Below are 13234 nucleotides of genomic sequence, written 5' to 3' on the forward strand. Positions count from 1 at the left end.
TATTCTAATGACACTATTTTCCTAGGCATATTCTTAGATGGTTAGCACTGTACCTTACCATTATATTAAAAAAGGAAATACTGAGAATTAAGAAAATGTAAAGAACATCAAATTACATATTTTGATTTACTGAGTTGAAAACAATTCTAAATTTTTGTTAATAACACGTGTGCTACAATATGAAGTTATTAATAGTAATTCTTTTTTATTACTCTCCAATTTTAACATGTTTGTGTAGGGGGAGTGGGGTAGGATCCAAATGATCTGGGAAGTAAACAGAACTTGAGCTAAATGCCACTGTTTACCATCTGTAAATTCAAACATTTACAGTGTTCCTTGTAATTACTAGTAGACTTTTTTTCTTCTTAAGAGATGGATCTCACTATGTTGCCCAGTTGGAATCAAACTCCTGGGCTCAAGTGATCTTTCTGCCTCAGTCTCCTGGGTAGCTGAAACTACAGAGGGAGGCCACCGAGCCTGGCTTTCTAGTAGAGTGTTTTTTATTAAAAAAAAAAAAAAAAAAAAAAAGGAACTCATGAGTTAAAACAATGTTTCCTCTAAGCACAGAAAAGAAAACTAACCCAATTTTGTAGCCCATGATAATAGCTTCTATATACCCTTTTTAATTCCAGTAAGGAAAGTTTCCTGTACTAGAAAGCCAGTATTAGACCAAAAGTGTAAATATCACCTAACAGCTTACAGTTGTCCCTCCTCACCACCGTTAACCACATTTCACTTTCTGTGGCTTCTGTTACACACATACAGCACAATAACATATTTTAAGAGAGACAGACTACGTTCATATAATTTTTATTACAGTATATTGTTATTATAATTGTTCTATTGTTAATTATCTTACTGTGTGTAATTTATAAATAAACCTTTATTATACATAGTATGTATAGGAAAAAAAAAGTATAGTACACATAGAGCGTAATACTATCCACAGTTTCAGGCGTTCACTGGGGGGTCTTGGAATATATACCCCAGCAGATAAGGGGGACTACTGTATTTCAAAATGTAGTCTTCCCCCACCAACAACCCCATCCCCCGTGACAACCCCTCAACCTACAAAGGGCAGAGGAGCTCAGGAATTTGCTTTAACAAGCATTTTCAGTGATTCACACACACGCTAAAGTTTAAGAAACAGCAGCCAACACACCTGGGTCAATGCTTACTCTCAGATACAAGGTAATTGTCCCCAGCACCACATGTATGTATAGGGAAAAAAAGGAAAAAAAAAATATATATATATACATATATTCCTACCCAACTATCTGCAGCTTTCCTTCATGCAATCACAGACTCTGTATGTGTCACTAGCTATAATCCCCAGAAAATATCCTCAGATTTCTAATAGTCATTTCTTCAACCTAGGAGTAATTACTATTAGAGTTTACAAATTTAAGATGGTATCACAAAAACAAAGTTTTGTTAGAAGAGTACATTGGGAAGTTGGGAAGCCCTGAAATTATATGCAAAAACTTGTATACACAACTATATTTCCTCAGAGAAATAAGTCCAAGATTTTGTTTGATTACTAAAACATGTGAACCAAAATAAGTTATTTTTAAACGAGATTTAAAAGCTCTTTATTCTTTCTCTTCAAACAAGCAGGCTATTTATGGTTTATTTATCTATTAAATATAAGAGGAGAGAAAATCTTATAGTATAGGGTCTTTTGATAGCCTCTGCATTTGTCTACAACTTATACCATATCATAATGTTGACCATTTTAAATTTTTGGTTACCTGAATTGTTTTAGAGTTTCTCATCTATAAAAAGGGATTTCTACCACCTGCTTGATTTCTCTGTATTTAATTCCATACTTATAGTTTTGTGTATCACAGGAAGGGAAAAGTGAATTCACAGCTCACACATAAAAAGGAAAAAAAAATACTACCCTTCTTCCTATTAGCTCTCCATAAAGGTAATAGCAATATAGAAATAAATCTAAGAAAGGTTTTTTATTACAATATAGTAAAAATATAATGTTAAAACCTAATTTTTTAAAAAAATCCCTTACTTGATTAGCTGACAGTATATAATTATCAAAACTCATTAAGCAATTCTCTAAAAATAGGTGAATTTTATTGTGTATAAATTATACCTCAAGAAAACTGAGGTCAAAAACCTCCTCTAATCATATTTTCTTCATAATCTTGATTCCACATAAGTAACAACCTTACTTTCTAAGAAACATAAAAGGAACAATTTCCTTAAAAATTTTAAGACATTAGACTAGAGGCCGATGATACAACAACAAAGGCAAGCTGCCTGCCCTAGAGTTTATGGTTGCTTGGGGGGAGTGTTTGGGGGAGAAAGGGGATGGCACAGAATGAATGCCCAAAAAATATTTGCTAAATCAATGAATACATATTCATAAATAATTAACACAAGATAAAAGTCAATAGTGACACATACAGAGTTTGTGGTTGCATGAAGGAAAGCTGCAAGACAGATGGGGTAGAAGCCAGCTAACAATTAGGAGTTCACTGCAGTTAGAAGACTCTTACTGCTTCACTTCCAGGCAAAGCAAAGAGTAACTGTGAAGATATAGAAGAATTTTCAAGAGAATAAAAGGAGTTGAAGGAGTTGAAAAGTAGTTAGGAATCTGATATGGAAAGGTGTTATATTTTCCAGAAAATCTGAAGTTCATTCTATCAATGTTAGGAAAGGATTTTAGGCCAAAGAATGACCTGACCAGATTTGCCTACAGCAAAAGAAAGGATGAACTGGAAAAAAGGGGGAAAACTGTAGGCAGAAGACATAATAGTCTAACTAGTCCTATGATTATCATTTAGTGTCAATAAATTTCTGTAAAATTTATAATGAAGTCAAGCAGACCTTTTTAAAATTCAGTACTCTGTCGTACCTACTGTGTAAGAAACAAATTTTTATACTAGCTTTCTTTTTCCTTGGAAATTTTAAAAATCATCCCTCAAAGCCTAAGTGAAATTTACAGAAAATCTTCCCTTATTTCTTGTTTAAAGATTTCATCTTTACCTCCTCCGTACTTTCATAGTCATTTGTTTATCACAATAACCTAGGTAAATTTATTTCCCCTTCTAAATTGTGAAAATTACAGTCAGGAACTCCCCCAATCCTAATAATGACAACTTAGAAATTAATAGCTATCATTACTTGAATATCTCTTAAGTGCAAATTGTTATTAAGCACTTTAATACAGTTTTTCTAAAAGTCACAATAACTTTCTTTTCAAGAAATGCAATCTGAGAGTCAGATTAAGTAATTTGTTCAAAGTTCCACATGTATACAGTGAAGGTTGGATTCAAATCCAGACTTGTTTGATTCTTCACCCCCAGCTTGCCATACTTCTTAGCAAATTGTATTAAATACCTTCCTAGTAGGTACATAATAAAATACATGAACCTGGTTGAAATAATAAAACTCTGCTACAAAAAAGAGATACTGCTTATGTATGTTAACTTAATTCTCTTTTATGTAAAGAAAAATGCTTCTTATACATCATTTTGAGGAATAATAGCAAGATTATAGAGCAATTTATGTGCATTTTTTTCAGATAATTTCTATTACTACCTAAAAGCTATAAGCCAATAAGGTACAATAATTTAAAGAACTGAACCTAAAAAATGCTGCTTAAAAAAAATTAAAAATTACACATTTAATGATGCTTTTCTTTGAAAAGATCTTACTCCAACAATACTCCAACTGCTTCAAGATTTTTGAACACCTTCTTCTGAGATTTTATTTAGGACCTTTTATAATTAAAACAAATAATGACTATCACCTGCAGTTTGTAATGTGCTAGGTGATATGATAAATACAAAGACCCCCTTCTTCTCAAGAAGATAATACAAACACAAATAAATACAATAAAAGGCAAAATAGGGCCAGGCACGGTGGCTCATGCCTGTAATCCAGCACTTTGGGAGGCCAAGGCGGGTGGATCAACTGAGGTCAGGAGTTTGAGACCAGCCTGGACAACATGGTGAAAGCCCATCTCTACTAAAAATACAAAAATTAGCTGGGCATGTTGGCGGCACCTGTAATCACAGCTACTTGGGAGGCTGAGGCAGGAGAATTGCGTGAACCTGGGAGGTGGAGGTTGCAGTGAGCCAAGATCTTGCCACTGCACTCTAGCCTGGGTGACAGGTGACAGAGCAAGACTCTGTCTCAAAAAAAAAAAAAAAAAAGGCAAAATAGATGAATAGTACACAATTCAAAGAAAGTAACGGCTGTGGTGATCAGACACTTGAAAAAAGAAGGTAAACTGAGAGGAAGGAACAGGGTATTCTGGGAACTAACAAGGAATACCGAATAGTCACTGTAGAAAACAAACATGGGGCCAGGTGCAGAGGGGGTGCTCAGCTATAATCATTGCACTTTAAGAGGCTAGAGTAGGCAGATCACTTAAGCCCAGGAGCCCATGACCAGCCTGGGCAAAATGGAAAAAATCCCATCCCTACAAAAAAAAAAAATTATCTGAGCATGGTAGTGCATGCCTGTAAGTCCCAGCTACTCAAGACGCTGAGGTGGGAGGATCACCTGAGCCCAGAAGGTTGAGGCTGTAGTGAACTGTGATGGAGCCACTGCACTCCAGCCTGGGTTGGAGTGAGACCCTTTCTCAAAAAAAAAAAAAAAAAAGGAAAAAAGAAAGAAAATTAATATGGAAGAAACTATACTCTGTGGAAGATTAACCAACTTACAGGGATGGATTGGGGCAGGTATGAGACCAAAGGGAAAAAGACCAATTGAGAGGCTACAGAGTTAGTACGGGATAGGAATTAAAGGTTCTCATGCTTTGGAGAAAATCAGGCTTCTGTATATATAAACCTCAAACTTCTAACAAGAATCAACACTGCAGAGAAGAGTTCGCCATTCAGTGGGATGCACCTAATGCAATGAGGGAAGCAAGGGTACCACTGAGGTTGAGAAAAAGACAAAAAGACCTACCCAACCCTAAGAGTGGCAATGGAAGCTTTTAGTTCCATATGACACTAAGAGCTGTGTGTGATGACAATGAACAAGAATTTCTTGTATATTGCAAACTAATTAGAAGAGTATATTTTGAATGTTCCCATCACAAAGAAATGATAAATGTAGCTGGGCATGGTGGCACACACCTATATGGCTACTCAGGAGGCTAACACAGGAGGATCACTTCAGCCTAGGAGTTTGAGGTTGCAGTGAGCTTTGACTGCAAGACCTAGCACTCTGGGGTGACAGAGTGAGACCCCATCTCACAAAAAAAGAAAAAGAAGAAGAAATGAAGAAATGATAAAATTGGAAGTGATGGATATCCCTGGGTTTATTACATATTGTATGCTTGTAACAAAATATCACATGTACTCCACAAATATGAAGTAGTCTCTATAAAAATTTTTAAATTAATTAATTTCACATGGCTGTCAGGAACATTAAACAAATTAAGTTTTAAAAAGTGAGTGACAACAATGTCAAATACTCTAAAGAAGTCACAGAGGAGTAAGAATGAAAAATAGGGAGTAAATATGGTGATATGTTCATAACAGATAATCTTTAAAAGAGGAATGTTAGTTGGTAGGTGGGGGCAATACTCAAAAGGTAAAGAAATGAATCACAATAAAGCTGGTAGCAAACACTTTTTACAAATGTTAATGGTAAAAAGGAAGACAAGAAATAAGGAAAACAGGCAGTTGGGACAAACTGTCCTCTTCCAAAAAATTTTTTAAATACCTGAAAATGTTTGTAAGCAGAAGGAACCATATAGAGAGAAAGAGATGAAGATCCAAGTTAACTGAATATGGTCATGGTGAACTGGGGGAGAAAGGACAGTTAATGGGGAAGTGAGACATGTTAGATTTTTAAGATTAATGTCTGATTGAAGGTAACAGGAAAAATACGTGGGGTTGAAAAGAGTTAATTTTAGGAAAAATAAAAAGGATGACCTACAATTGACTAATTAATAGGCCAAGTTAACAACTGAGAAACTAAAATAAAATCTTTAGGGTACTGAAGAAGGATTAAACAAATGTTGCAGGTAAAAATAAAGAGATCTTTTTTAAAAAAATAAGACCTAATCAGAATTAAAGTTTTTGAAATCAGAGTTGACTAAATCAAGGACCATTTGATAGTCTAGAAGTGAGCACAGAGGAAGTTCAAAAGAGAAGAGGTTCAAATCTTACCTTGGCCTTTATGCCAGTGAGCATGACTAAAGATGTAAAGGATTCTAGGACAAAAAGCCACAATCAAAACAGATGATCCTGAGAGTAAGGTTGACTACAAAATTAAGATGGGTGCTACTAGGCTGGAAAAAGGAGTCAAAGCTCTGAACATCATGGGGTAATGGAAATCCAAAAGGAATGAACAGTTTATAGGAAGAGATTTAAATAGTACTGTAGTTTCAAGAAAAAAAAAGACAATATATGAACTTAAAAGTTGATGTGAAATGCTGGCACTAAAGAAGCAAGATACCATGAGGTCAGGCCAACCATGAAGACATGGGAAAACCGAGAGAAGTGCTGAAGCCACCAAAAAAGGTAGAAGAATCCTTGAAAGCAGTAGTTGATAATGACCAGCAAGTAACAGAGAAGTCATGTGTAATCTGCAAGAAAGTCACTTATAATACATTAATTCTAATTTTAAACAAAAACTGAACAAACTTACTTTGAAAAAGCAAACTCTCAGGTTTATATCTAAACAACTTTTGCCTACTTAAAAAAAATACAAACCCATTCTGAAGGAATAAAGTATTCCCCTAATGAGATCTAAAAATGAAAATAATGCAGACTCTGAAGGCTTTTCCTAACATAGTGTAAATAGTAAGTACTCAAATAATCTAAGTTGAATGAATTAATGAAAAAGAATTCCAAAAGTGGCATCATGGTGGAATGGTGTCTCATTTTCACTGAATGGATGCAAGTATAGATGGCCTGACAGATGGATAAAAAGACAGTTGGAATACAGAAAGAGAAACAGACTCCACTGAAAATCTTAAAGTCTCTCAAAGTGACTGCTTTAAAGAGGATGACGCCACTACAGCCTGGGCGACACAGCGAGACTCCGTCTCAAAAAAAAAAAAAAAAAAGGAGGATGACGCTCATGAGATTACAAGTATTTATTTAGTAAATATATTTAAAAATTTAAAATTCTGTTGGAAAGTAACCATTATTGAAACACCAATGGGGCAATAAAAAGTTCCATGGAAAAACTATTTCCCAGCCGGGTGCAATGGCTCATGCCTGTAATCCCAGCACTTTGGGAGGCCAAGGCGGGCAGATCACTTGAGGTCAGCAGTTTGAGACCAGCCTGGCCAACATGGTGAAACCCTGTCTCTACTAAAAATCCAAAAACTAGCCAGGCATGGTGGCTCACACCTGTTGTCCCAGCTACTCAGGAGGCGAAGGCAGGGGAATTGCTTGATCCTGGGAGGCAGAGGTTTCAGTGAGCTGATGCCACTGCACTCCAGCCTGGGCAACAGAGCGAGACTCCATCTCAAAAAAATAAAAAAGAAAAACTATTACCCTAACAAACCTATTCTAATTTCATTAGCTTAATTTTTCTTACAATTTTAGTCCCATAATTTCTAGTTACTATGCTGAGAAATAGGACCAGGCAATATCCTAAAAGTTCCTTATTGTTAGATCCTTTTAGCTCCTTGAAGAGAAAAACTGGCTTCTAATAGGATAACTTTGTTTTTGAAACAGAAACTTGCTGAACTATAATTTTAATTGGCAATTTACACATTTAATTCATCTTACCTCATCATATGATTTACATAGGCTTTGCTACAGCTAGTGTTGTATCTGCAAAAACTACAGTGGACGTACGTAGGAAAGTGGTTTGCAAAATCTTTTATTTCGGAACAACACTCAATGCATTTGTGAATGCCCCGACGATACCTTAGGGAGACATTAAAAAAATGATAAAAATATATTTTAAAACAAAAATAATAAGGAAGAGCCTTAATAATGTTCTCTTAACTAAAGTATAAGTTTTTATACTTAAGTTTAAATTATATTGTATATCAGGAATAAAAGATTACCTTAAATTCCTCAATGCTGTATTGACTTTACTTTTTTTATTGCTACTAGCCAATGTGCTTTGTTTCTTTTGCATATTAGAGATTTTTGGTTTGTATTTAGATTTACTTCCATTAGGCTTACTTGTATTAGGTTTACTTGCGTTGGATTTGACTGTATTAGGTTTACTTGTATTAGATTTTGCAGGATTTTTAGCAGTTATATTTTTAGTCCTTGGAGGTGAGAGCTGAAGGGTAGAAGCACTTGCACTAATGGAAGGTGTAGGTGAAGCTCCTGATTGCAGAGGTCCAACTGAAGCTCGAATAGTAACCTACAAAAATAAAGAGAAGATTTGCTTTAAGAGATTAATCAGTACATTAATATTAAAATATCATGGTACAAAAATAGTTAAAAATCAAGAATTTTGAAAAAAGCACATATAAACTACAATCAGGTAAGTCTCCCATTTATTCTAAATGTTCAAACTATTAAATGATATTAAACTTGATATTAAGTTGTAATATTACATTTTTGTATTGATATCAGTTATATGTTAACACAGTTATCAGTGAATAATTAGGAGTTAATACAAATTATATGAATATACAAAGAGCACATTCCATAGCTATTTTTATGCCCTGACTTAACTTTAAGAAATTCACAAGCATAGAGCTCAAAATTTAAATCTCAAGCCTGAAAAATAATTCTAGAAAGGCCTAAATTACCCTTTAACAACTATAAAAGAAACAGATCTACAGTAAATGTGATCTCCTCTTTCCAGGGGCTCAGTGCCCAAGATTTATGCTTACAAATGTTATGGGAGGAGTTACATCAATTTATTATACTGCATAGAGGGCTAAATAATATTCAGAAATTTCTTAAAGTAAACTAATACAAAGTTCATCATTTAGTATTCAGAATGAGAAAATGTTTAATTTCATCTGTTGGTTGACAATGAAAAACACAAGTGCCTACCAACATTCTGGTTAATCATTTGACTATACCCTCCTCCGGTATTTGAGGAACAGTCAATAAGGAAGTCCTATGACATACATGTGCTTGGGTAACATACAATGGCACTGGACCAGGAATCAAAAGGCCTTCCTAGCCATGTGACCTTGAACAAGGAACTTATCCTCTCTATGCTTCTTCACATCTATAACATGGGGCAATACCTGCCTTATTAACCTCAGTGGATTGTGGTATGAATTAGACAACAGAATGTATGAAAAAGTACACTGAAAGTCTAATTCTAAGGTGCTATAAAAACATTTAGTATCATTATCATTAATATTATTATTATTAATAAGGGAAAAAATGAGAGAGGACTGCACTGCTTACATTAGTGTTCTGCATGTCTAGTCCCAACATGGAATGAATGGATTGCAGGGAAGGATGCTGGATAGCTTCTCTTGCTATCATGTCTTCAGAGCATGGCTTTATATTGTTTTAGTTAATTCAAATAACAGACATACCCACATTCAAAGGAAAGTACCCAAAGCCAAAAATAAATGTTTTGGGGATTATTCACTTTGGATTATCCATGCCTCTGTTTCCCTCCACTGGAGCAAATATTCAAGAGCTGACTGTATATAAAGAAGTCAGAGAAAACAGATGTACATAAGGCAAAAAGGGAAAAGTAAATTACAATCATCAGTATGCAGTCAGACATGTGTTTGCTCACTTAAAACACAATGCTATCCAGCAGTAGAACTTGCTTCTCAGAGTAAACTCAGTAATAACAACTGCAACAAACATCTGAGAACTTATGGAACTCAAGGCACTGTACCAGATGCTGGGGACACAAAGATAAATAAAACATGATTCCTGATCTCAAGCATCTTATAGTTTAGCAACTAAAGTCAACATATACACTTTCAACTGAAAGCTCAAAAATAGCCTATAAAATATTGAAACAACCCATTGACCCAGGAAAAGTTAATTGAGTTGTACTTTTTAAAAAGGACTACTACTCTAACCTAACAGCTATCACTGAACTCAAAACAATGGTTAGAAGTTTTTCCTTCTACACATAAAATTAAAACCTAAAATTAGAGTCTGAGCAAAAATCTGAAGTCATTTAAAAATACATTCAATATATAAAGCCGGGCAGGAGTTAATTTCTATTATCATACAAAATGTTAAAATACAATATATTTTAACTCACTTTTGTTCCAGGAGGCAATCCTTCTAGTTGTTTAGGTTTTATAAATGTTCGATGGTGTTGAGTCTTATGATCCATTTTCTCCTTGCATGTCAAAAACTGCAGCCTGCATTTTGTACAACGATGTATTCCTTTTTTCTGTTTAGAAAAAAACAGAAAAAGGGGGAAAAATAATTTCAAAAACTACAAATCCTGTGTCCTGAAACTGCTGACTTAATTTTAATGATACCTAAATAATGTAAAAACTTGCGGTTTAACATCTCCTATCATAATAATATAAAATGCCTCATTTTTTAAAAGTCATTACATTAGTATTTGGGTTTCAAAAGTGTTCGCTACTATGTAAGAACTGTACATGAAAGTTCTATCAATAGGTTCTAATAAAACTTCTATTAATTGTGGTGAGAAATCTCTTTCGATTATAAACTTGAAGTAAACACATACTTTGAAAATGAGATGTACTACGTTTTTATCCTAGAAAAAGGAAATTATTTCTAATTTTTGCTATTTCTAGTTGGTTGAAAAGTTGGTAAAATAAATTAAACTCTCTAAAACCAAATAAATCTAACCAGACATTTCAAAGAAGGTTATTTTATAGAAGTGGTTACATAAACCAATGCTGTCCAATAATATCTCCTATGATAATGAAATATTTGAGAGCTGTATTGTCCAACACAGTAGCCACTAGCCACATGTGGTTATTGAGCACCTGAAATGTGGCCACTGTGACTAAGGAACTACATTTTTAATACTGTTTAACTTTAATTAATTTAAATCTAAAAAGCCATATGTGGCTAGTAGCTACTACATCAGACAATGTGGATGAAGAGGCATAAAACAGAACAACTGAACTTACTGAGAACCCCTTGACTGAGTCCCTCCTCAAACCCAGTCCTGTCATTATTCTACAGATGGGAAATGGGACCCAAAAAAATGCTAAGGCACTTCCCCATAGCTAGTTACTGACATTACCAGGGCCCTGATCCAGTGTTCTTTCTACTACAGATTATCAACTGCAATTTTTACCCTCATTATTTTATATATATATATATTTTATATATATATATATTATATATATATATAATATATATATATTATATATATATTATATATATATTATATATATATATTATATATATATATTATATATATATAATATATATATTATATATATATATTATATATATATAATATATATATATAGTGGTTTTAGAGAAACCACTCTTTTGTAGTTATATGTTGTTTTACATATATATATATATATACACATGCACACACACATAATTATACAACATATAATTATAAAGGAATGCCTTATCTAAAGCTGTATCTCTGCCAGATACATCACTATGTCCATTGAAATACAACTGTTTATTTATTTATTTATTAACTTTTAAGCTCAGGGAACATGTGCAGGATGTGCAGGTTTGATACACAGGTAAACGTGTATCCCGGAGGTTTTTTGTACAGATTATTTCATCACCCAGGCATTCATTAGTTATTTTTCCTGATCCTCTCTCTCCTCCCACCCTCTGCCCTCTGGCAGGCCTAAGTATGTGTTGTTCCCCTCTATGTGTCTTGTGTTCTCATCATTTAGCTCCCACTTATAAATGAGAAAACACGGTATTTTTCTGTTCCTGCATTAGTTTGCTAAGGATAATGGCCTCCAGCTCCATCCATGTCCCTGCAAAGGACATGATCTCATTCCTTTCTTTGGCTGCATAGTATTCCATGGTGTATATGTACCACATTTTTTTCATCCAGTCCACCACTGATGGGCATCTAGGCTGATTGCATGTCTTTGCTATTGTGAATAGTGCTACAAAGAACATATGTGTGCATATGTCTTAACAGAACGATTTATATTCTTTTGGGTATATACCCAGCAATGGGATTGCTGGGTGGAATGCTATTTCTGTCTCTAGGTCTTCAAGGAATTGCCACACTCTCTTCCACAATGGTTAATTTACACTCCCACCAACAGTATAAAAGCACTCCTTTGCTCCATAACCTTGCTAGCATCTATTATTTTTTTATCTTTTAATAATAGCCATTCTGACAGGTGTGAGATGGTATCTCACTGTAGTTTTGATTTGCATTCCCTAATGATCAGTGATGTTGAGTTTTTTTTCATATCATTGTTGGCCGCATGTATGTCTTCTTTTGAGACGTGTCCATATCCTTTGCCCGCTTTCTAATGGGGTTGGTTTCTTTCTTGTAAATCTGCTTAAATTCCTTATAGATGTAGATATTAGACCTTTGTCAGATGCATAGTTTGCAAAAATTTTCTCCCATTCTGTAAGTTGTCTGCTTACTTTGTTGACAGTTTCTTTTGCTGTGCAGAAGCTCTTTAATTAGATCTCATGTGTCAATTTTTGCTTTTGTTGCAATTGCTTTTGGTGTCTTCATCATGAAATCTTTGCCTTTGCCTATGCCTATGTCCTGAATGGTATTGCCTAGGTTTCTTCTAGGGTTTTTATAGTTTTAGGTTTTACATTTAAGTCTTTAATCCATCTTGGGTTAATTTTGGTGTATGATGTAAGGAAGGGGTCCAGTTTCAGTTTTCTGCCTATGGCCAGCCAGTTTCCCAATGACCATTTATTGAATAGGGGAATCCTTTCCCCATAGCTTGTTTTTGTCAGGTTTGTCGAAGATCAGATGGTTGTAGGTGTGCGGTTTTATTTCTGGGTTCTCTATACTATTCCATTGTTCTATGCATCTGTTCTTGTTCCAGTACCAAGCTGTTTTGGTTACTATAGCCCTGTAGTATAGTTTGAAATCAGGTAGTGTGATTCCTCCAGCTTTGTTCTTTTTGCTTAGGATTGACTTGGCTATTCGGGCTATTTTTCGTTCCATATGAATTTTAAAATGGCTTTTCCTAGTTTTGTGAAGAATGTCCATGGTAGTTTAATGGGAATAGCACTGAATCTATAAATTACTTTGGGCAGTATGGCCATTTTCATGATATTGATTCTTCCTATCCATGAGCATGGAATGTTTTTCCATTTGTTTGTGTCATCTCTGATTTCTCTGAGCAGTGATCTGTTTAATAGTTCTCACTGCAGAGATCATTCACTTCCCTTGT

The 13234-nt window shown here is 34.5% G+C and overlaps 1 protein-coding gene across 3 annotated transcripts in view; it reads right to left on the minus strand.

Annotated features, from left to right (window-relative positions):
• ZNF280D (zinc finger protein 280D) overlaps positions 1–13234 on the minus strand; it is a 103334-nt gene that overhangs the window by 28495 nt on the left and 61605 nt on the right. For all 3 annotated transcript variants that reach the window (NM_001002843.3, NM_001288588.2, NM_017661.4), the window contains 3 exons: positions 10153–10287; positions 8009–8316; positions 7725–7865 (listed from right to left, as the gene is read on the minus strand). In NM_001002843.3, coding sequence (NP_001002843.1) covers positions 7725–7865; positions 8009–8316; positions 10153–10287 — 584 coding nt within the window. The remainder of the gene's footprint in view (positions 1–7724; positions 7866–8008; positions 8317–10152; positions 10288–13234) is intronic.

Source organism: Homo sapiens, chromosome 15 (assembly GCF_000001405.40).
Source record: "Homo sapiens chromosome 15, GRCh38.p14 Primary Assembly".
Lineage (NCBI taxonomy): Eukaryota > Metazoa > Chordata > Mammalia > Primates > Hominidae > Homo > Homo sapiens.